The 24,011-nt window shown below is 39.0% G+C and overlaps 1 protein-coding gene across 12 annotated transcripts in view; it reads left to right on the top strand.

Annotated features, from left to right (window-relative positions):
- HPSE2 (heparanase 2 (inactive)) overlaps positions 1–24,011 on the top strand; it is an 858,875-nt gene that overhangs the window by 812,808 nt on the left and 22,056 nt on the right. For 11 of the 12 annotated variants that reach the window (XM_047425614.1, NM_001166245.1, XM_011540030.2 and 8 more), the window contains 2 exons: positions 12,948–13,093; positions 20,362–20,508. In XM_047425614.1, coding sequence (XP_047281570.1) covers positions 12,948–13,093; positions 20,362–20,508 — 293 coding nt within the window. The remainder of the gene's footprint in view (positions 1–12,947; positions 13,094–20,361; positions 20,509–24,011) is intronic. The other variant, XM_011540029.1, reaches the window with a different exon arrangement.

Here is a 24,011-nt window from a genome sequence, read left to right as displayed (position 1 = left end):
ACCTCCCGGGTTCCAGCAACTCTCCTGCCTCAGCCTCCTGAGTAGCTGAGATTACAGATGCCTGCCACCATGCCCAGCTAATTTTTGTATTTTTAATAGAGACGGGGTTTCACCATGTTGGCCAGGCTGATCTCAAACTCCTGGCCTCAGGTGATCCACCCGCCTCGGCCTCCCAAACTGCTGGGATTACAGGCGTGAGCCACTGCACCAGGCCTATTGAGCATTTTTTCATATGTTTGTTGGCCATTTGTAAATCTTCTTTTGAGTATTGTCTATTCATGTCCTTAGCCCACTTTTTGATGGATTGTTTGTTTTTTTCTTACTGATTTGTTTGAGTTCGTTGTAGATTCTGGATACTAATCCTTTGACAGATGTATAGATTGTCTGTTTACTCTGCTGACTGTTCCTTTTGGTGTGCAAAAGCGCTTTAGTTTAATTAAGTCCCAACTATTTATCTTTGTTTTTATTGCATTTGCTTTTGGGTTCTTGTTCATGAAATCCATGCCTAAACCAATGTCTAGAGGATTTTTCCAATGTTGTCTTCTAGAATTTTTATAGTTTCAGATTGTAGATTTAAGTTCTTAATCCAGCTTGAGCTGATTTTTGTATAAGGTGAGAGATGAGGATCCAGTTTCATTCTCCTACATGTGGCTAGCCAGTTATCCTAGCACCATTTGTTGAAAAGTGTAACGTTTCCCCTCTTTATTTTTTTGTTTGCTTTGTCGAAGATCAGTTGGCTGTAAGTATGTGGGTTGATTCCTAGGTTCCCTATTCTGTTCCATTGGTCTATATGCCTATTTTTATACCATTACCATGCTGTTTTGGTGACTATGGCCTAATAGTATAGTTTGAAATCAGGTAGTGTGCGATGCCTCTCAATTTGTTCTTTTTGCTTAGTCTTGCTGTGGCTATGCAGGCTCTTTTTTGGTTCCATATGAATTTTAGAATTGTTTTTTCAAATTCTGTGAAGAATAATGGCAGTATTTTGATGGGGATTGCATTGAATTTATAGATTGCTTTTGGAAGTATGGTCATTTTCACAATATTGACTCTACCCATCCATGAGTAAGGGATGTGTTTCCATTTGTTTGTGTCATCTGTGATTTCTTTAAGCAGTGTTTTGTAGTTTTCCTTGTAGAGGTCTTTCACTTCCTTGGTTAGGTATATTTTTAAGTTTGTTTTTTTTTTTGCAGATATTGTAAAAGGGGTTGAGTTCTTGATTTGATTCTCCACTTGGTTGCTGTTGGTGTATAGAAGAGCTACCAATTTGTGTACATTAATCTTGTATTCAGAAACTTTGCTGAATTATTTTATTAGTTCTAGGAGCTTTCTTGGAGGAGTCTTCAGGGGTTTCAAAGTAAACGATCATATCATCAGCACACAGTGACAGTTTGACTTCCTGTTTACCAATTTGGATGCCCTTTCTTTCTCTTGTCTGATTGCTCTGGCTAGGACTTCCAATACTATGTTGAAGAGGAGTGAGGAGAGTGGGCATCTTTGTCTTGTTCCAGTTCTCAGAGGGAATGCTTTCAACGTTTCCCCATTCAGTATTATGTTGGCTGTGGTTTGTCACAGATGGCTTTTATTACATTGAGGTATGTCCCTTGTATACTGATTTTGCTGGAGAGTTTTAATCATAAAGAGATGCTGGATTTTGTCAAGTGCTTTTTCTGCATCTATTGAGATGATCATGTGATTTTTGTTTTTAATTCTGTTTATGTGGTGTATTGCATTTATTGACTTGCATATGATAAACCATTCCTACATCCCTAGTATGAAATCCCCTTGATCATGGTAGAATATCTTTTTGATATGTTGTTGGATTGATCCAGTTAGCTAGTATTTTGTTAAGGATTTTAGCATCTATGTTCATCAAGGATATTGGTCTGTAGTTTTCTTTTTTTGGTTATGTTCTTTCCTGGTTTTGGTTTTAGGGTGATGCTGGCTTCATAGAATGAATTAGGGAGGGTTCCTTCTTTCTGTATCTTTTGGAATAGTGTCAAAAGAATTGGTACCAATTCTTTGAGTGTCTGGTAGAATTCTGCTGTGAATCCGTGTAGTCTTGGACTTTTTTTTTTGTTGGTAATTTTTAAATTACCATTTCAATCTCAATGCTTGTTATTGGTCTCTTCAGGGTATCAAATTCTTCCTGACTTAAGCTAGGAGGGTATTTTTCCAGGAATTTATCCACCTCTTCTAGGTTTTCTAGTTTATGTGCATAAAGGTGTTCACAAGTAGCCTTGAGTGATCTCTTGTATTTCAGTGGTGTCAGTTGTAATATCTCCTGTTTCATTTCTTAATGAGGTTATTTAGACTTTCTCTCTTCTTTTCTTAATCTTCTTTTCTTCTTTTCTTGGTTATTCTTGCTAATGGTCTATCAATTTTATTTATCTTTTTAAAGAACCAGCTTTTTGTTTCATTTATCTTTTGTATTTTTTGTTTGTTTCAATTTCATTTAGCTCTGCTCTGATCTTGGTTATTTCCTTTCTTCTTTTGGGTTTGGGTTTGGTTTGTTCTTGCTTCTCTAGTCCCTTGAGGTGTGACCTTAGAATGTCAGTCTGTGCTCTTTCAGTCTTTTCAATGTAGGCATTTAGGGCTATGAACTTTCCTCTTAGCACCGCCTTTGCTGTATCCCAGAGGGTTTGACAGGTTGTGTCATTATTGTCATTTCGTTTGAATAATTTTTTAATTTCTATCTTGATTTCGTTTTTGACCCAATGCTCATTCAGGAGCAGGTTATTTAATTTTCATGTATTTGCATGGTTTTGAAGATTCCTTTTGGAGTTGATTTCCAGTTTTATTCCACTGTGGTCTGAGAGAGTGCTTGATATAATGTCAGTTTTCTTAAGTTTATTGAGATTCATTTTATGGCCTGTCATATGTTCTATCTTGGAGAAAGTTCCATGAACTATTGAGTAGAATGTGTATTCTGCAGTCGTTGGGTGAAATGTTCTATATATATCTGTTAAGTCCATTTGTTCCAAGGTATAGTTTAAATCCATTGTTTCTTTGTTGACTTTCTGTCTTTTGATGACCTGCCTACTGCTGTCAGTGGAGTATTGAAGTCCCCCACTATTACTGTGTTGCTGTCTATCTTATTTCTTAGGTCTATTAGTAATTGTTTTATAAATTTGGGAGTTCCAGTGTTAGGTGCATATATGTTTAGGATTGTGATATTTTCCTGTTAGCCAAGGCCTTTTACCATTATATAATGTCCCTCTTTGTCTCTTTTAACTGCTGTTGCTTTAAAGTTTGTTTTGTCTGAAAAAAGAATAGCTACCCCTGCTTGCTTTTGGTGTCCATTTGCATGAAATGCCTTTTTCCACCCCTTTACTTTATGTGAGTCCTTATGTGTTAGGTGAGTCTCTTGAAGGCAGCAGATAGTTGGTTGTTGAGTTCTTATCCATTCTACAGTTCTGTATCTTTTAAGTGGAGCATGGAGGCCATTTACATTCAATGTTAGTACTGAGATGTGAGGTACCTTTGCATTCATCCTGCTGCTTGTTGCCTGTGTACCTTGGTTTTTTTGGTTTTTGTTTTTGCTTTTTAACTTGTATTTTTGTTTTATAGGTCCTGTGTGATTTATGCTTTAAAGAGGTTCTGTTTTGATGTGTTTCCAGGATTTGTTTCAAAGTTCAGAGCTCCTTTTAGCAGTTCTTGTAGTGGTGGCTTGGTAGTGGCGAATTCTCTTAACATTTGTTTGTCTGAAAAAGACTGTATTTTTCCATCATATATGATGCTTAGTTTCGCTGGATTCAAAATTCTTGACTGATAATTGTTTTGTTTCAGGAGGCTGAAGATAGGGCCCCAATCCCTTCTAGCTTGTAGGGTTTCTGCTGAGAAATCTGCTGTTAATCTGACAGGTTTTCTTTTATAGGTTACCTGGTGTTTCTGTCTCACAGCTCTTAAGATTCTTTCCTTCATCTTAACTTTAGATAACCTGATGACAATATGCCTAGGTGATGATCTTTTTGTGAGGAATTTCCCAGGTGATTTTTGTGCTTCTTGTATTTGGGTGTTTAGGTCTCTAGCAAGGCCAGGGAAGTTTTCCTCGATTATTCCCCCAAATATGTTTTCCGAACTTTGAGATTTCTCTTCTTCCTCAGGAACACCAATTATTCTTAGGTTTCATCATTTAACATAATCCGAGACTTCTTGGAGGCTTTGTTCATGTTTTCTTATTATTTTTTCTTTGTCTTTGTTGGATTGGGTTAATTTGAAGACCTTATCCTTGAGATCTGAATTTCTTTCTTCTACTTGTTCAGTTCTATTGCTGAGACTTTCCAGAACATTTTGCAATTCTATAAGTGTGTCCAATGTTTCCTGTAGTTTTGATTGCTTTCTCTTTATGCTATCTATTTCCTTGAATATTTCTCCCTTCACTTCTTGTATTGTTTTTTGGATTTCCTTGCACTGGGCTTCACCTTTCTCTGGTGCCTCCCTGATTAGTTTAATAACTAACCTCCTGAATTCTTTTTCAGGTAAATCAGGGATTTCTTCTTGGTTTGGATCCATTGCTGGTGAACCAGTGTGATTTTTTGGGGGTGTTAAAGGGCCTTGTTTTGTCATATCACCAGAGTTGGTTTTCTGGTTGCTTCTCATTTGGGTAGGCTCTGTCAGAGGGAAGGAAGGTCTACAGCTAAAGGCTGTTGTTCAGAATCTTTTGTCCCATGGGGTGTTCCCTTGATGTAGTACTCTCCTCCTTTTCCTATGGATGTGGCTTCCTGTGAGCTGAACTGCAGTGATTGTTGTCTGTCTTCTGGGTCTAGCCACCCAGCAAGTCTACCCAGTTCCGAGCTGGTACTGGGGGTTGTCTGCAGAGTCCTGTGATGGGAACCATCTATGGGTCCCTCAGCCATGGATACCAGCACAGTATTTAGGGTGTCTCCCAGGTCCTGCAGAAGCAGTCCACTTCCTTCAGAGGGTCTGTGGGTCCTCTCAGGATTGCTGGTTGTTCTTGCAGTTGATCTGGAGCTAAAATTCACGATGCGAGCCTCCGCATGCTGCTTTGTCTGTCCGAGTTGGAGCTGCAATCTAGTCCTGCCTCCCGTCCACCATGATGATCCAATCTCCTCAAAGCTATATTTAAAGAAAGTTCTCAGAGGCTAAAGAAAAGTGTTTGTCTTTCGGATCAAAAGTGCTCTCCCTAATACTGGCAAATTAATGCAGAAACTCATATTGACAGATTTCTGGCCAAAGTTCATAAAATTAAGGATAAAACATGACTTCTATAAGCATCCTAGCAAAACACAAATACTAGAAAATAAACAGGCTACCTATACATAGAACAAAAATCATGCTAGCTTCAAAATTCTCTGCAACAGTGCTACAAGAAAATGATCTCATTCTGCTTGAGGTCAATATTGACATTTTTAAAAAAGAAAATGATTTCAAAATTTATTTGGAAAAACAAATGAGTATGAGGTGATGGAAATCTCAGTTACATTGACTTGATATTTACAAATTTGTGATCAAATTAAATTATTGCATGCACCCTGAAAATATGTATATTGATTATGTATCAATTTCAAAAATGCTTTAAATAAATATGCCTAAATAAGAAAAGTTTGAACAAAATAATAAAAGTATAATGAAATAGACTTGAATCTGTAGATATTAAAATAAATGATAATAATGAAAATGCTGTGAAACTGATTAAAAATTGAGAGTTCAGTGGAAGAGAATAGAAAATCTAGACACAGAATTATATATATTGTTTATCAGTATATCATGAATATCCCACATCATAAGATGCACACACATACACACAAAGTCCTCATTTAATGTCATTGATAGATTCTTAGAAACTGTGACTTTAAGTGAAATGATGTACAGCAAATCCTCAAATAATGTCATTTTGCTCAATGTCATTTCATTGTAATGTTGATGAGGAAAAAAGTGGTTTTGTTACACATCATTTCACTTAAAGTCACAATTTCCAAGAACCTCTTGATGACATTAAGTGAAGACTTACTATTACTTAGTATGTGATAAGGATGGGCTTACGGATAGGTTATTCATTATATGATACTAAAATAATTACTAGACTACTTAAAAAATAGCAAACTTAATAGTATACATCAAATCATTTTCAATGAATTAAAAGTTTAAATCTTTAAATAATATAAAAAAGAACTAGAAGAAATATAAGTGAAGATGTATCTAATCCTTATATGAGGAAGGACTTACTAAGAATTAAAAAAAGAAACCAAGAGAAAAATATTGATGTGTTTTCCTATAATTTTTTTTTAATTCTCCATGTCAAAAAACCATAAAAAGTGATAAAAGTCAAACTACAAACTTGAACAGAATATTTATACTGTATACAACTAAAGGATTGTTACTACCAAAATTAAAAGCTATGTTACAGAGGATTCTGGAAAGATGGTAGAATAGGAAGCATCATGAATCTGTCTCTTCACTCAGACAACAATTGCACTGGCAGAGTCTGTCTCATGTAACTGTTTTAGAACTCTAAGGTCTATTAAAGTCTTGCAAGTTTCAAGGGAAAGCTAGGAAGGTGAATTGCAGTTAATTTTGGTCAATTTCAGCTCTTAGCTCAGTAGTGACTACCCATTCCCCACCTCTTAGCCCTATGGCAGGTAGCTGTGTATGTGTTCCTGGAGCAGTTTGCATACAGCTTGCAGGAAGTCAGAGTGGTCAAAAAATACCCCATCCTCTAAATACCAAGGATCTCTACTCTCATCTCTGATTACTGCTTCTGACCAAAAGGTGCAGATAAAGAGGCAGGCAACCACTGTTGTTGCACCTCTCTCCATTGATGTAAGCCTCTCCCCCTCTGGCTGAAGTGACTGTAGGGGATTTAAAAGATTGGTGCCTTTTTGTTTTGTTTTGTTTTTTTACTCTCCTCCTTTTTTCCTCTTTTTCCTTTCACACATTAAATACAGGAACATTCAAAAGCAACTGTGTATACAGGGAAAAGTAGAAAGTACGCATACCCAAGAAAAGGTGCAGGCTCAAAAAAGACCTGAGAAGACCTTAAGTTTGTACCTCAGGCTGATCCTTGGCACAGAGGCAGCCTACAATAATTAAACACACACATACTCACCCACACTTACACACACACACACACCAAAAACAACTAAAAATCAGCAAACCCTAGGGAGGAAGAGGATGTGATTTCCAGAGTCACCACATTATTAGATTCAAATGTCCAGTTTCCAACAACAACAACAAAATTACAAAGCATACAAATAAACAAGAAAGTATGGCTCATTCAAAGAAAAAAATAAATAAATCCATAGAAACCATTATTGAAAAAGACTTGATGGCAGATCTACTAAGCAAAGACTTTAAACCAATTCTCTTGAAGACGTTAAATGAAGATGTGGAAACAGTCAAGAAAATGATGTATAAACAAAATGGAATATCAGTAAAGAGAAAGAAAACCTGTAAAGAAACAAAAAAAAAAATTCTGGAGCTGAAAAATATAGTGACTGAAATAAAAATTTATTAGAGGAATTCAAAGGCAAATTGGAGCAGTCAGAAGAGAGAATCAGCAAATTCAAAGACAGTGGAAATTATCTAGTCTGAGGAACAGAAAGAAAAAAGATTGAAGAAAAATGAACAGGGCCAAAGGGACCTGGGGGACACCATTAAGTGGACTAATATACACACTGTGGGAGTCCCAGAAGGAGAAGAGAAAAAGGATCACAGAAAATAATCAATGAAATAATGGCTGAAAACGTCTCAAATTTGATAAAGAACATGCACATAAACATCCAAGAAGCTCAATGAATTCTAAATAAGATGAATCTAAAGAGACCCACACCAAGACACTTTTAATCAGATTTTAAAGGCCAAATCAAATCTTGAAAGCAGCATGAGTGAAGTGAATTGCCAAATATAAGTAATTCTTAGTAAGATTATCAGCAGATTTCTCATCAGAAACTTTGAAGGCCAGAAGGCAGTGAGCCAATATATGCAAAGTGCTAAAAGAAAAAAAAAAACTGTCAACAAAGAATCCTATATCCATCAAAATTTTTTCTTCAAAAGTAGGGGAGAAATTAAGACATTCTCAAATAAAGAAAAGCTGAGAGATTTTGTGATGACTAGACTTGCTCTGCAAAAAATGCTTAAGGGAGTCCTGCTTGTTGCAATGAAAGTATACTAGACAGTAATTCAATGTTGTATGAAAAAATAAAGATCTCAATAAATATTAAGTATATGAGCAAATATACAAGCTGGCATTATTGTAATAATAGGTTTTAACTCCTATTAAGACAATAGGTTTTAAACTTTTTTTCTGCATGTTTTAACAGACTAATACCTCTTTTAAAAACAATTATTAGTCTAGAAGCTAGTGTTATTGTTACTTTGGTTTGTAACTCCAATTTTTGTTTCTACATAATTTATGAGAATAATGTATTTAAAAGAATTATCAGTTTATGTTTTGGGGACACACAATGTATCAAGATGTAATTTTGTGACATCAACCATTGATGTAAAAAGAGAAATAGAAGTTCCTCTTCAAAGACTTTCCTCCCTGTCTAATTAGGAATAAATAGTAACTTCTCTTAAAAGCAAAATTTATTCAAAGACCTGTGCTAACATTCTTAAATATCTGCTAGCCATAATAAAGAAATCAATGTACTTTATGTTCTTAGCTCCCACAATTTAGCCTAAATATTTGCCCTGGCATGCTTATATTGGTCCAAGCAAGCATTAGGTCATAGCCTGTTCCTCTTCCTTATTTAAAAGTGTTTTTATCTTTCTCAGCATTCCACAAGTTACTTCCTCCTTCCTTTGTTCTCCTCTACCTTTGCCTCTTTTAAACAGTTCTAAGTTGCTAGCCAATTGGGACAAATACAGAATGTGAGGTCCCGTTCCAGCCAATGGAAACCAGACATAGCAGTAGGGTGGATGCGTCAGGTTATAAATGACCCTGTCTCCTTTGTTCAGTATACTCTCATGGCAAAACTGCTTGCAGGTGTACCCTTTCTGCAGGAAGTAAAAATGGCCTTACTAAATAAATTAAATTTATGTTCAAGTGCTATTTCTTTATGGCACCGGAGAACAAGCATTTCAAACAATTGAGAAGGGTGAGGACAGAGCTGTAAAGGAGCAGAGTTTTTGTATGTTGTTAAAGTTAAGCTGGTATAAATGCAAATTAGAGTGTTATAATTAGGATGTTAAATGTAATACCAAAGTAACCACAAAGAAAATAGTTATAGAATATGCACAAAAGGTAATGAGAAAGGAATTTAAACATTTCACTAAAAAATATCAACTAAACACAAAAGAAGATAGTGATATAGGAAAGGAGGTACAAAAAAGCTGTAACATAGAAAACAGCAAAATGACAGATGTCCCTCCTTATCAGTAGTTACTTTAAATGTAAATTGATTAAACTCTCCAGTCAAAAGACAGAGGTTGGCAGAAAAGATTTTAAAAGAAAAACAGGATCCAACTCTATGCTGTCTGCACAGAGATTCACTTTAGACCCAAAAACACAAACAGATTGAAAGGATGGAAAAATATATTCCATAAAAATAGTAACCAAAAGAGAGTAGGGGCAGCTTTATTAATATCAGACAAAATAGATTTTAAATTTTAAAAGATTATAAGAGACAAAGAAGGAAATTATATATTAATAAAAGTTTCAGTGCAGCAATAATATATAACATTATGTTTACACACCTGATTACAGATCACAAAAAAATATGAAGTGAAAGTTGCCAGAATTGAAAGAGAAACAGACACTTCTGCAATAACAGTTGAAGACTTCAATATCCCATTCTCAATAATGATAAGAAAACAATACAGAAATAAAGAAGTAGAGGAGTTAAACAACATAATAAACCAACTAGATCTAACAGACACACCAAACACTTTACCCAGCAACAATAGCATATACATTTTTTCTCATTGCATATGGGACATTTTGCAGGATAAGCCATGTGTTAGGCTGCAAATTAAGTTCAAATGTGGTATACAAATGCAATGGAATATTATTCAGCCTTACAAAAGAAGAAAATTCTGACATATGCTACAACATGGATGAACCTTGAGGACACTATGCTAAGTGAAATAAGCCAGTCACAAAAAGACAAATACTATGAGTTCATTTATATGAGATACTTAGAATAGTCACAGAGGCAGAAAGTGGAACGATGGTTGCCAGAGATTGGGGGAGGGGGAATGAAGAGTTAATGTTTAATGGGTACAGAGTTTCAGTTTTACAAGATGACAAGTTATAGAGATGGACAGTGGTGATGGTTATACAACATTATGAATTTACATAATACCACTGAACTGTACACTTAAAAATGGTTAAGATGGTAAATTTTATGTTATGTGGATCTCCCCACAGTAAAAAAAAATTGGGAAAAAATGTTGGTCATTAGGAATTAACCTTATCAACTTCTTTTATATATCTATCCCAAACATCTTTAGAGTTTTACCCAGGTATCCTCATCTCCTTTTTTAGAGAGTGACATGGCATTTAGCTATCTCCTATTGAAAAGCAGACAGGTTTCAAGTTAATAAATCTAAAGTTTGCCACTCAATTATGGTGGGGATTATATAAGTTTATTTTTTATCTCTACATAATTATTGAGAATTAAACGTAATAAACATAATATCTCTTTTCTTTTCTTTTTTTTTTTTTTTTGTCTTTTTTGAGACGGAATCTCGTTCTGTTGCCCAGGCTGGAGTGCAGTGGCGCAATCTCGGCTCACTGCAAGCTCCGCCTCCTGGGTTCACGCCATTCTCCTGCCTCAGCCTCCCGAGTAGCTGGGACTACAGGCGCCCATCACCACGCCCTGCTAATTTTTTGTATTTTTAGTAGAGACCGGGTTTCACCGTGTTAGCCAGGATGGTCTCGATCTCCTGACCTCGTGATCTGCCCACCTCGGCCTCCCAAAGTGCAGGGATTATAGGCGTGAGCCACCGTAAACATAATATCTCTTTTTTCCAAATGTGAGTGGCTTGCTTACAAACATGTCTCACATTAAGTGAAAATTGCTACGACACAAAGGTAATGGCTATACCCAAATGCAAGTTTGAGAGAAAGCCTGTTTAGCTTTTTCAAATTACCTAAATAAAAACAGGGGTGTTTGTGATAAGACATTGGAATGAAGGATAAGAAAAATGGGAAAGAACTGTAGTGAGCCGGAATTGGAGAAACAGAAGTGTTTTGTGCATTTGCTGTTCTTGTGTTCTAAATGCTTTGTGAGTGTAAAAATCAGAAATTAAATTTTGGCAACCTCTATACAAAAAACTAAGGATCCCTTCCGGATTCTATACCCACCCTTTAGGTTGAATTCCTTGTTTTTCAGCTGCCTTGTGTCTTTATATAATATGACTTTGTACTTCACAGCATGAAGGAAAGCGTTGTACAGCCATTGGAGGCAAATGGATCCCTATTTGCTTTCATAGTCTACCATTCACTAGTTTTGTGACCTGAGATACCCCTTGAAACATTCTCATATCTGTAAAATAAGAATAATAATCCCTATTACTATATCAGAGGAGCTACTGAGAAAATAGTAAGCTAATCCTAGCTAACTTACAGTTTTTTACTTTTATTATTTAAAAGAAAGTACATTGCAAATCAGTAAGAAAAAGGTGGAAATTCCCTTGCAATGTGAAAACCACTTCATAAAGTAATCATCAAAAACACAGAAATTGTAATCAAATTTGAGCATCTTAAACCCACAACACTTTTTCCATCTATATAATTGATAATGATTATTTGCCTTTTTTAATATTAGGAGACCATATTTAACAGCCATCCTAAGGCCACTTAAAATTAAAGTAAATGGTTGTGCATGGCTTAGAGCACACTACTCAGGGCAGATTTGGAGCCATTCTAGTGGCAAAGGGGCTTTGAGACTTTATTCTGATTTATGCAGTTCATCAGATATTTTTAAGCAGCTGATATTATAAATGACCACACAAGAAAAAAAAAAAAGATTATCAGAAGGCTTCTGCCTGAAAATATGAAGTTTAATAAATCACGATTGATGTCTTTAAGGCATTGAAGAGTATGCACTGAATAGTATATTCACTGAATTCAGGAATTTGAGTGGGGTAGGGGGTCCTAAATGTTATTAGGAAGCCCTGTTTTATACAGTGAGTTATAAACACTGAAGTCATTACCTCACAATAGCTGGTAAGAGCTTGCATAACAGAAATGTAAATTTTATATTTATGTCAGATGCAAACACAAAATATGATAATAGCAAATGCAACAGAAATTAAGGTGGGTTTTTGTAAGCTCATATAAATGTGTGCCACAGATTGAAAATTTTTAAATCAATTACACATGGAATGATTAAAGCATCACATTCTTTTTAGTTTAGAATTACACTTTTTATTGTCAAACTGTTGAGGATAACCAAGAATTAGCACCGTGGTTGCAAACATTTTTCTGTTTGCCTTTCTGGCTCTGGAATCAAGGACTCTGGTCTCCTATGTGGAGAAGCTTCACCTCAGTCCCACTGCACTAGTAGTCTTCAGTGATAATATTTGGAGAATGACAGTTTGGATGATCATGTTAGTAACAATTCTAAGGAATGGAAATAATCCATTCCATAATTAAACAGAAATCATAAGCCGCTATAAAAGTAAAGTCATAGGAAAAGAAAGTTGAAAATGTAAAGCCTCAAATGGTTTTATTTCATATATGAAAATCCTTGATTGATTTGTTCATATGCTGCTGTGGATCGACTCCACTTACACATCCCAGTTTAGTTGAAAGGCCACTTTAGACAGTGTCCATTTCATTATCAACCCACGTTCGTGTTTCATGGGGCTGACCATGCTTGTAGGCTTAGGGCTGCATTGGTCATGACTCATGACTCCAGGTAGGAAGTGATTTCTGGCCCGTGTGTGTGTGTGTGTGTGTGTGTGTGTGTCATGTTTACTCAGAACACCTGAGCATGTGTTCTCTCGCTGACCCTCTCCCTCTCTATTCTCCTCAGGACTACTGGCTCTCTCTCCTCTACAAGCGCCTGATCGGCCCCAAAGTCTTGGCTGTGCATGTGGCTGGGCTCCAGCGGAAGCCACGGCCTGGCCGAGTGATCCGGGACAAACTAAGGATTTATGCTCACTGCACAAACCACCACAAGTAAGTCCTCAGAAAGATGGCAGAAAGGCCACCTGAGGGGCTCCCACCCCATACCATTTGGGACCCCTTCAAGACTCATCTCCATTCACTAATCTTATCAAAAACTTTTTGCCTCTGGAATCACCATACCTGCTCTTTGGAGGTTTCAAATAATTTCTGGTAAATAGCTTTTACTCCAAGTAAACGCTCCCTTCTCATACTTAGAGGATTAATCATAAAAGGTTCCTAAAATTCTTGCCATTTGTTCATTTACTTATTCATCCAACACATTTTTATTGAGCATTTTCTCTGTGCCAGTTGATGTAATGCCCATGAGGCTTTTTTGTGTGCCTAAGCTTTAGCCAAGTCAAGAGGTATAAAATCTTTTCCTATGATCCACCAGCAAAGCTTGAGAAAATAAATCTCCCTTTCTAAGATGCATGCTGGAGAGATATGCCGCTAGAAACCTAGCCCTAGACCAATGCTTGTCAAGCTGGGGGTCCCCAGAACTAAAGGAGTGCCCAGAGATGGTCATGCCAGCTTTAGAGCCATTTCCAGTGTTTTGAAAATCTTTTCAGCTATTTTAAAAATTAAGAGGCTAAGTGAAATCTGGGCTTCCTTTTCTGAGGGCTCTGGACAACAACCTAATGTGGTAGTGTGGGGTTATCCTCTTTTTGATCTGAAGAACTGGTTGTCATTACAGTTGTCTTTAAAACAAACAGGAAAATTAATTGTCAATAAATATAAGCTTGGCAGATAAAAAATTTTGACACATGAAGACCATAAGGGAAAACTATAATCAGGGGTGGGGGGTGCCTAAAGCAAAATCCATCTGGCCAAATATGGCTTTCTTACATCACTTCCTGTTTAAGGCAGAGTAGGCTGCCCTGGAAAATATAATTCTTTCTCTTTCTCTTAATGCAAAGAAAACCTGGTGGGGGGATACGGGGCAGGGAATGGTAAGCAAGTGCCTCCAGCCAGACCTTCATTCCAGCCCAGGCCTATCAGGAACTGATCAAGGGGAGTACCTAGTACAAAGAGCTTGGAGTGGTCAGGTTACAACAGATGCTCCTTCTGCTTCCTTGATGAGAGAGGAGCCAAGCCAATTAATTTATCATGATAAGACTTTTCAAAGAATCACTCTGAGGAGAGGGGGGGCAGGGGCCAGTTGTCTTGTCAGTAGATACAAGTGCCTATTGTAAATGAGGGGAGGCTGGCTTGGGCAGAGGCCAGAGGCTTTCAACATCCCTTTTGCTCAACAGGAAGCTCAATCCAATACCTGACAGAGAGTGACTGCTTTATGGCCTTGGCCTGGAGTTATCTGATCATCACACAAGGAAACATTGTATTCCTTGTCTCTGCCCTGGCCCTGAGGTAACCACCCAAAAGGTGGACCCCCAGACTCGAGATAGAAAAATTACTCTTGGCACCTTATATCCCTGTTGGAAAGCATATCAGTCTGTGGTCTTTATACCGCTAATCTGAGGACTTGGGGGAAAAAATATCTGCAGCCATGGGCTTAGCAGGATTTGCGTCTCCTCATAGAAGCCTCCTCACGTGATCTCGAGTGTTCATCCTCATTCTTTAACATCCTCATGGGAAGTTGTCATTAATATTCTGAGTGTACCATGAACTCAGGGCCAGTGTCTCATTCATTTTTGTATTCTTGGTGTCTAATATAGTGACTGGCATGAAGATCCCAGGAAAGGTTTGCAAATGAATGAACAAATGCAGAATTTGGGCATCAAGATGTTACTGTTGATTTAGAGTTAGAGCTTTCTTCCCCTTTGATATTACGACATCAGCCAGAAGGAAATGGTATGGTGGAGTGGTTAGGAATTCTACCATTCCATAGCATGAGACCTCAAACAAGTTACTGAAATTATCTGCATTCAAGACTGTCTGTCTACACCACCAGCTCTCCTCTAATTTCTATGCAAAGTCACTCCAGAACCTCTCTAGAGAAACGGTGTCACTGGGCTTCTATCAGTACAACCTCTCTCACTCTCTGTTAAAAAGACAGAAAGAAAAGACTTTCATAATCCGTTCTACATGTGACCCTAATGATAATAACTGGGTTGAAGGTGTTTTTGTTCCTATTAGATTCATAAAGAAAACCCACAGTGAATGCACGGAGCTGGCTGAGGTTGCAGGGCTCCTCCATGTCAACAGGTGTCAGTGTCCAGCTAGGGCAGCTCAAAGGTAGAAGAAGTATCTGTTCACCTCTCTGAGAAATCATGTGCCATTAAGGAAGCACTGCTGAGTCATTTATCTGTGGCCAATAGGCCAAAATCACAGAATTATCCCAGAGTGGGCATGGTGGATTCACACTATTCAACCTTGACGAATACTCTGAAAATATTTGTCCCAGGTCAAAACAGGGATTGGGGAGAAGGTATAAACTTATGAGTAGAATCATCCAGAGAAAGTGTCTATTAAAATAACAACCCCTGCACTCCAGTGTGTATTGAATACTTGCTGTGTGACAAGCATCTTTCCAGATATTTGCACTTATTTTATTGAATTTCAAAGGTTCTACGGTATCACATCTACATGCAAATAACAGCATTAATAATGCAAAGAATGTTACATTTGGAAAGAGCCCTTAGAAATCATTCAGCCGAGTGCCTATTCAACACAGGAATCCATTTCACATCTCCCTGACAGTCATGCAACCCCTATGTGGATACCTCACCGCCTGTCATGGCAGCCCCTTGCATTGTGGGTCATTTCTGATCTTGTAGAGTGCTGTCTCTTATGATTAATTTAGGAGAAAAAGTTAGATCCTCATACCACCACCAGCAGGTGCTTTTCTGTTTTCTGTTCTAGAATTAACAAATTAGGACACTGACAGAATGGCAGTTCTCATCCTCGATCTTCTTGTTCAGAGAACAATCAAGTTTTGATGAGGAAGCCTCTTTTTATGAGCCATTCTGCTGAAACAACGTATGTTTCTGGGGTGGAGATGAGGTCCTTAGCCAAGTTCAGAACCAATTGGAACCTGGTGGATGCTGAAGGAAAATTAAGCCTTTTGGGGTTCAAGTTCATTTATTATTGGCAAAACATGACTTCCTGTTTTTCAGAAGAAGTTTTTTTAAAGACTCATAAAAATGGTTCCTGAGGCTTCTTGGACATCAAATGGCTCTTACAAAACAATATTTTGATGAGTTAAGTGTAAATGAATCAGAAACATGTGGATTAAATTTCCCTTAAAATACACAGGGGCTTTGAAATTAAGGGAAAAAATGTTTGGCAAAACATGGCCTGGCTTTTACCGAACCCAAAACCTTTGAATTAGATTTGGAGACAATGGATCAACCCAGTTTCAAGCACATTGACTTTCAGTGGGAATGACCGTGGACTGCAAAGCATCATCCTCCTTTCCCTTTCCCAGCCTCCCAGCTTCACTGGAGACATTTCTAGAACATGACTGTTTTCTATCTGGAAGTCAAGATGCACCTCCCCATATGACATTCCCCACCTCTTACATTTAGGATATTCCAATTCCAGCCTCCTTTCCCTGACTCACTTCCGCCTCCTCCCATGGCAACACAGAGAAATCTCAGGCAGGAAAAGAACAGCCAGAAAAAATGAACTCCAGATACATGGATTCTCTGCTGGTGAAAAAAAAATCTCACCCATGAGTGAGACATGGGGCAAGATAGATGGTCCTCTCAGACAACTTCTCTCCTGAAAGGAACATTCACTAAGATAACCAAAAGCCACCTGGACTTGATAACCTCAGAGGGCCAGCAAATGCTTGCAGGCCAAGCCTTCAGACACCATTTTCTCCAAGATTATTTTTCTGTGGTCAGAGAATATATGTTCCTCAGGAATTTGGATTCTCAACACACTACTTTCAGGTTGGTGCTGCACTCGCCAGCCAAGAATGTGTCTTTGCAGCAAAAAGGCCTGGCTTAATGTCCTTGCCCATAAGCCAAGCAGGGAGAGGGATGGCTGAGGCAGTCTTTAATGCCAATTCCTACCTGAGAAGGCGCTATGAGTTCTGAGAGCCTCTATATGTGGGTCTCTGGGCTGTACTGGTTTGTCTTCCCCAGGGGAACTATGTAAGTGGAAATCAGACCACTGCCAAACAGCTTGAAAAAGACAGCTTTCCCTGCAGCAGTGCTGTGATTTCAGGTCTCCCTCCCACCCACCACTTCCCCACATCCCACCTTCTCTTCTGCAGTCTCCAAGGGCTCATTCTGCCCCAGCTCTGCAGAGGAGAAACTCATAAATGCAAGCATGTGGCTCTCTCCTCCTCCACTGCTGGCCTTTGAGAGTGTTGTTTGATGGTAGCTAGCAAAAGAATTTACTGCAGTCTGGCAAAATTGATACCCATCCACATGTATTTTGCTCCCACTCTGAAGCCTAGAGATCCTGCAATTAATGGTGTCTTCCTCAGTTTTACAGATAGCTAAGCTAAGCTGAAACCCCACCAATGGGATAGAGTCGATGTTCTTCTTTAATGATGGTCAACACTGATTCAGGCTGCCAGCATCCTTCTTCAGAGTTCTGGGGACATAAGTCTGCTTAAATCAACTGGCATTCTCTTCTGACCTAACTCATTTAGCTACAAAAGCTAGTTCACATGTTGCAGGAGATTAAGAAGGACCGGAGGAGGAGGAACTGGATGAAAGAGTCGTTTTAATAATTTATCAGAACACAAATGCAGGCATCCAAAAGCCTTGAACACAATAATGTACCCTCCTGCAGATGCAAAAAAAATCTTCTGACGCACAGCCAGCAGGATATACTTCAGTAGTTCTTCTCATAATCTTAATGGATTGTTCTAAGCAAGTGGTTCCCAAACCCAATTCATCTGCCAAATATCCCAGAAAGATTTTTTTAAGTATAGATTCCCAGTCCCTAATCCCAAATAGATTGCATCAAAATCTCCACGGAAGAGCCCTGGAAACTGTGCTTCTAAACAAAAACAAAAATAAAAAACTCCATGTCACCATACTGACCTGTCCTTGGTCACTCAACTCTTAATTAGCACCTTTAGAAGCAGAGGTGAGTGACCCAGGATGGAGGGGTGTTATTTCTATAAGGAATGATGCTTTCCTCTGGGCAAAGTTGACTTAGAGTTTCTCTGAACTCCTCCTTTGAAGGTGGGGCTGGGTCATTTTTTTCTGTTTCCTCTCATTAACCTATCCAGATGGGGCCCTAAGGGACCCCTTAGAAACTAAGCATTTTTTCCTACAGAGAGAAGGAAATCATTATAGTTTTGCTGATACATGCTGAAGGGCTAGTGCATGTAGGCATATAGTTCTCTCAGACTTCTGAAGATCTTATGCTCATTTAAAAAGATTCCAAAATGGTGAATAGTTTTATAATCTTGAGGTAGGTAAAACAGCAAAAGAAGAAATCAAAAAGATAAATTTGACTACATAAAAGTTTTTTAACTTTTATATATTAAAATACAATGTAAATAAACTGAAACGGTCAAAGAAAACTGGGGGAAATTTTGCAGACAAAAGACTGCTCTTTAATAAATAGTTTTTATAAATCAACAGAAAAATAGGCAAAGGTGTCCGGGCATGGTGTCTAACGCCTGTAATCCCAGCCCTTTGGGAGGCCAAGGCGGGTGATCACTTGAGGTCAGGAGTTCAAGACCAGCCTGGCCAACATGGTGAAACCCCATCTCTACTAAAAATACAAAAATTAGCTGGGCGTGGTGGCGCACGCCTGTAATCTCAGCTACCAGGGAGGCTGAGGCAGGAGAATTGCCTGAACGCAGGAGGCGGAGGTTGCAGTGAGCCCAGATCGTGCCACTGCACTCCAGCCTGGGCGACAGAGAAAAAAAGAAAGAAAGGAAGGAAGGAAGAAAGGAAAGAAAAAAGGAAGGAAGGAAGGACAGAAAAAGAAGGAAGGAAGGAAGGAAGAAAGGAAGGCAGGCAGGCAAAGGACATGGTCAGCTTACAAAAGAAGAAATGAAATGGCAAATGAAAAAATGCTGCATGTCAGTATTAATTTTTAAAAATACAAATTAATACAACATTGAAATCCCATTTTCACCTCTCAGGTTGACAAAGGTATTTTAAAAGAACACATTGGAAGTGTTCTTAGGGGTATGAGGAAATAGGTGCTCTCATATAGAGCAGGTGGGAGCAAAATTAGTGAAAGCTTCCTAGAGAGTTAATATCAATGGCATCAAAAAGTGTGTATCTGTCAGGATAGGTGAGGTTATGCTGCAATAATGAATAGCCCCCAAATCTCCAAGGCTTTCAATAAGAAAATTTATTTCTCATTCACACTACTTGTCCATCATGGCTCAACTGTACCTCTGCCCACATCATCTTCATTCAATAGAACAGCCTTTGTCAAGAACATTGTCAGTCTTCTGGCAGAGGGAAATGAAACATGGCAAAAGATGGGCTGAGTCCTAAAGCTTCTGCCTAGAGGTTTTTGCCATGTCCACTCACATTTCATTGGACAAAGCAAATCACGCGATCACTTAGTAGGGCAGGAAGAAAAAATCTTCCCACAGGGAGGTGCACCACTGGGAATGAACTGGAAAATTTGGTGAGGAATCATACAACACACGTTTCCCTTGGACTAATGATTCCAACGTCTAGGACTTTATCCATCAGAAATAATCAAAAAGTTTATACACATGACATAATTTATAATGGCAAAAATGTTCAAACATGAGTTGTCTGAACTGCAAACATAGGGGATTAGTTAAGTAATGTTACACTTCTATGATTGAAAAGTTTAGCATTCTTCTACAAGTAGAAAAAGAATCACATGGGAATATGTTTAAGATGTTCATTAATGGAAAAAAATCTCTGTGAATAATGTGATTCCAGTTATGTAAAAACTGAGTAATAATGTGTCAAAGTACTCAATAAATATTTGTCAAATTAATAAACTAAAAAATACTGGAAGGATGTTTGCCAAAATATTATCATATCTCAAGATATGAGGGTTATGGGGAATTTTCTTTTTCTTCTTTTTGTTTCTCAATATTTTTCCTTTTTTGCAATCAGCATGTTTTACTTCCATACTATGGTAATATATGCCATAAAATATATACATTATATTTTCTAAAATCATTGCAATAAATTTAAACAAAAACAAAAGAAGTATGGCAGGAAGTGGCTATCATCTTTGCAAGAAACCACAATAACAAGGCCTTCCTTTCTTTTAGGGTCTATGGTGGCCAAGTTTTTAAGTGCCATTTTCAGGGCTGTTCATATTTTGTACAGTCTATAAATTATTTAGAAGCATCTAACTGACCACTTTGTTTCCATCTTTCACTTCTCTCTTTCTCTGGATCTCAGCCACAACTACGTTCGTGGGTCCATTACACTTTTTATCATCAACTTGCATCGATCAAGAAAGAAAATCAAGCTGGCTGGGACTCTCAGAGACAAGCTGGTTCACCAGTACCTGCTGCAGCCCTATGGGCAGGAGGGCCTAAAGTCCAAGTACGTGCCAACCTGAAAATAGCTCGGGAGCAAGTGCAGCAGGAGCTGAGGGAGGGGGAGGCTGAAGACACCAAGGTTGCTGCTAATTCTCTCAAGGGCTCAGTGGGATGGAGTAGGACAAAGAGCGGTCTGGGGTCAGGTGACTGCTGACTCCTTTTGGGAACATGTTCAAGCCCCTCCCTATCTTAGATTCCCCAGTTGTAAAGTCAAATGGTGGAGAAAGTATTTCTCAACAAGGATACTCTTGGTATTTGAGCCAGATGATTCTTCGTTATACACAACTATCACATTGTAAGCTGTTTAGCATCCTTGGCCGCTGCTCACCAAATGCCAATAGTGCCCCATGGTCATGTAGCAACCAAACATCCTGGTAGTTGAGAACCATGTCCCTCACAGCTGTAACATTCTGTAATGCTGACTCCCTTGTTGTTACCATCTATTAACCTCACAGGGCTTACAGGAAGGAGCACTAAACAAAGAGTTTAGTGCTCAAAAGGTCAGAGATAAAGAGTCTGTCCTGCCCCTAACTTTATGACTTGAGCACATCACTGCTCCATCTCAGCTTCTTCATCTGAATAATAGGACAGAGATTATATTTTGAGGGCTCTGTGACCCTTTCAAAACTCTACAAATAAACGATTCTGTGACACTCCCTGCCTCCCTCAGTCTCTATTAGAGACTTGACAACATGGATCTCTACAAACAAAACAACTCTAGGCCACAGTGAGAAGGGCCTGGTCAAGGGCAAGGCCACCCCAGCTCCCCGAGTGAGGCCTCTCAGGAAGGGTATGGGATGCTGCACAGACTGGAGGCATTCCTATTCCATTTTTAATGTTTACCAAGTTTAACAAAGCTGTAAACTTGGAGCAGGTGGCTTGCACTCCAACAGCTGCCCACAAATATTTGTGCTATAATTATTCACTGTTTCACTGCAACCTTGGTGGCTTGCATTTGGCTTCCAATTGTATTTGCAATGGGAGCAAAAAACAATCTGGGAAGTCACTTATTGAGTGACTTATTTAGCCCACGCTAGATCTTCATTTTCAGTCTCGGTTCACATGCTGGCTCTTTTTTCTGGCTACATGTACATTGCGTCTGTTTTTCTTTCTTCCCGGTCCTACCTATGTCAGCAGGACTCTATTGAGTATTTTATCCCCTTTCTCTTCACTTCTGAGTAGTTCATGATGAGTGTGCTGAATTCCTGGCCTTCATCCTAGGCAGGAGACCTGGTTCTGGTCCCTGCTTTACCACTAAATAATCATATGACCTGGGAAAATTATTTTATCCTAATCCTTTGGCCTCAGTTTCCTAATCTTCAGATTTCAAGGGTTGTTGTACATGTGGTAAGGTCCTGTGCAGCTTGAAAACTCTCATCCTGGGTGTGATTTTCTGAGGATCATGAGTGCATTTAAATCTCCTGCTGCCATTAAATAATGATCTGCAAAGCCATTTCTGACAGAAGGGCTGACTCTGCAGCAGTGATTAGGGTCCTCTGGTTAGGGTCCTCTGGAACCGAAGAGCTTAGGAGCTGAGCCTGCCCAGTGTCAGGAAGACTGTGTGCACTGTGTGGAGGGGACTGGCCAAATGCTTTAGTCTAACAAGCCAAGGTGTCCATCCCTGCTCTGTTACTTGCTGGCTGTGTGTCTTTAGGCAAGTTATGTCATCTCTGTGAGCGTCAGTTTCCTCGTCTGTGAAACCTCTTTTGTGGAGCGAAGTAAATGAGGTAATCTGTGTAAAGTTCCTGACATATAGTAAATGCTCAATAAATATCCATTGCCTTCCTTTTCCTCAACTCAGAAATCTGGCTGGTTGAGAAAGAGGAAGGATACAATTGCTTTCCCTAAGAATGTTCTTCCAAAGAGGAATGTTTTCAGACTTTTAAGATAATGTGTTGACAAAACATTTGTTAGGATTATGATAAAAAGTCATGCTAAGAATTACAAAAAAGCAAAAGGATGAAACAGAAGATGATAGTCAAGGGTAGCATTTTTTAATGAGCTTATTTTCCCTCCAACCAAGGATGCAGGCAGGACTCTAAACCTATTTACCCCACCCCTACGTCCCTGCCTCCAAGATGATTCCCCTGCTGTTTGGAGCTGGCCATACCTTAACCCCTGTCTTTCTATACCTATCCTTAAGGGTGACTAAAGGGACTGACTCCCACTAGCTAGCGATATGTCATATGTTCAACTTTTGCCATCACCATAATAGTGAGGAGTTGTGTTACAACTTTGTTAAGAATGTAGGAAACCAGCCAGGCACAGTGGCTCACATCTGTAATCCCAACACTTTGGGAGGCTGAGGCGGGGGGATTACTTGAGGTCAGGAGTTCGAGATGAGCCTGGCCAACATGGTGAAACCCCTTCTGTACAAAAAAAATACAAAAATTAGCCAGGTGTGGTGGTGAGCACCTGTAATTCCAGCTACTTGGGAGCCCGAGGCAGGAGAATCACTGGGAGGCAGAGGTTGCAGTGAGCTGAGATCACACCACTGCACTCCAGCCTGGGCAACAGAGCAAGACTCTGCCTCAAAAAAAAAAAAATGTAGGAGAGGGACAAGGACAAAGAGAATTTCATTCTACAGGGATCCTTAAGAAGGATTTAGTAACACCCACTGAGCTCAAATAATAATGTCAGGTAATTGGAAGAACATTGGAACTGGAATTAGAAGGTGAGGATCTGAATTCAGATGCTACCATTTATCTTTGTGATCAAACCTGAGCTTCCTTCACTGTCAAATGGGATTATTATGAGACTCAATTTGGAAAATATGGTTGAAATAAAGCCTTCCACAAACCCATGCATATGCATACATCTATAAATATAAATACAGATACACACATAACGATTTTACATATGTTGGATTAGAGAGTTTTGGATTGGAATTCAAGGGAACTGGATTCCAGCCCCTGATCCTGCCACTAATTCACTGTGAAATGTTGGGCCCTTCATTCTTCTGAGTCTGTTCTGCCTATAAATTACTGCCAGTTTAACACCTCTCCTATTCTAGACCTCATTGGCTCGATCCTGGGCTGTGCCATGGTGGACTGTAAGCTGCCAGACAGGAACTGTCATGTACATGTTCAAGACCACATCTAGTGCTCTGCTCAGCAACTACTAAAGAGCTGAGTGGTCTGCGATGGGGGTCTCACAGGAAGGGTGTGGTTTCAGTGAAGCAGACTGTGCAGAAAGGGATGAAAGAAAATGCTAGGAAGTGATTTCAGCCTTTGGTGTCTCTTTCTCTCTTTTATAAGCCTCTGGGGCCAGACTCTGTGTTCTGTGTCTGCTAGTTCTTGCTACAGCTTGAAGCCATATTAGCTCAGAAGGGGATAGAAAGTTCTGGGAGCAGAAGAATGTGTAACTGCTCCTGTCTGGAGGAACCAGGAAGAGGATATAGAGCAAGTCAGTGCCCCCCGCCCCAATTCAAGCCACCAGTTGGGTATTCTGGTCTAGTGTTTCAGGAGTAGGGAGAGGCCAGAAGACTTCTTTGATTGCTCGAGGACA

The sequence above is a fragment of the Homo sapiens genome, chromosome 10, assembly GCF_000001405.40.
Source record: "Homo sapiens chromosome 10, GRCh38.p14 Primary Assembly".
Classification (NCBI taxonomy): Eukaryota; Metazoa; Chordata; class Mammalia; order Primates; family Hominidae; genus Homo; species Homo sapiens.
Note: the sequence above shows the minus strand (reverse complement) of the source record. Positions and strands in the feature narration are given on the sequence as shown.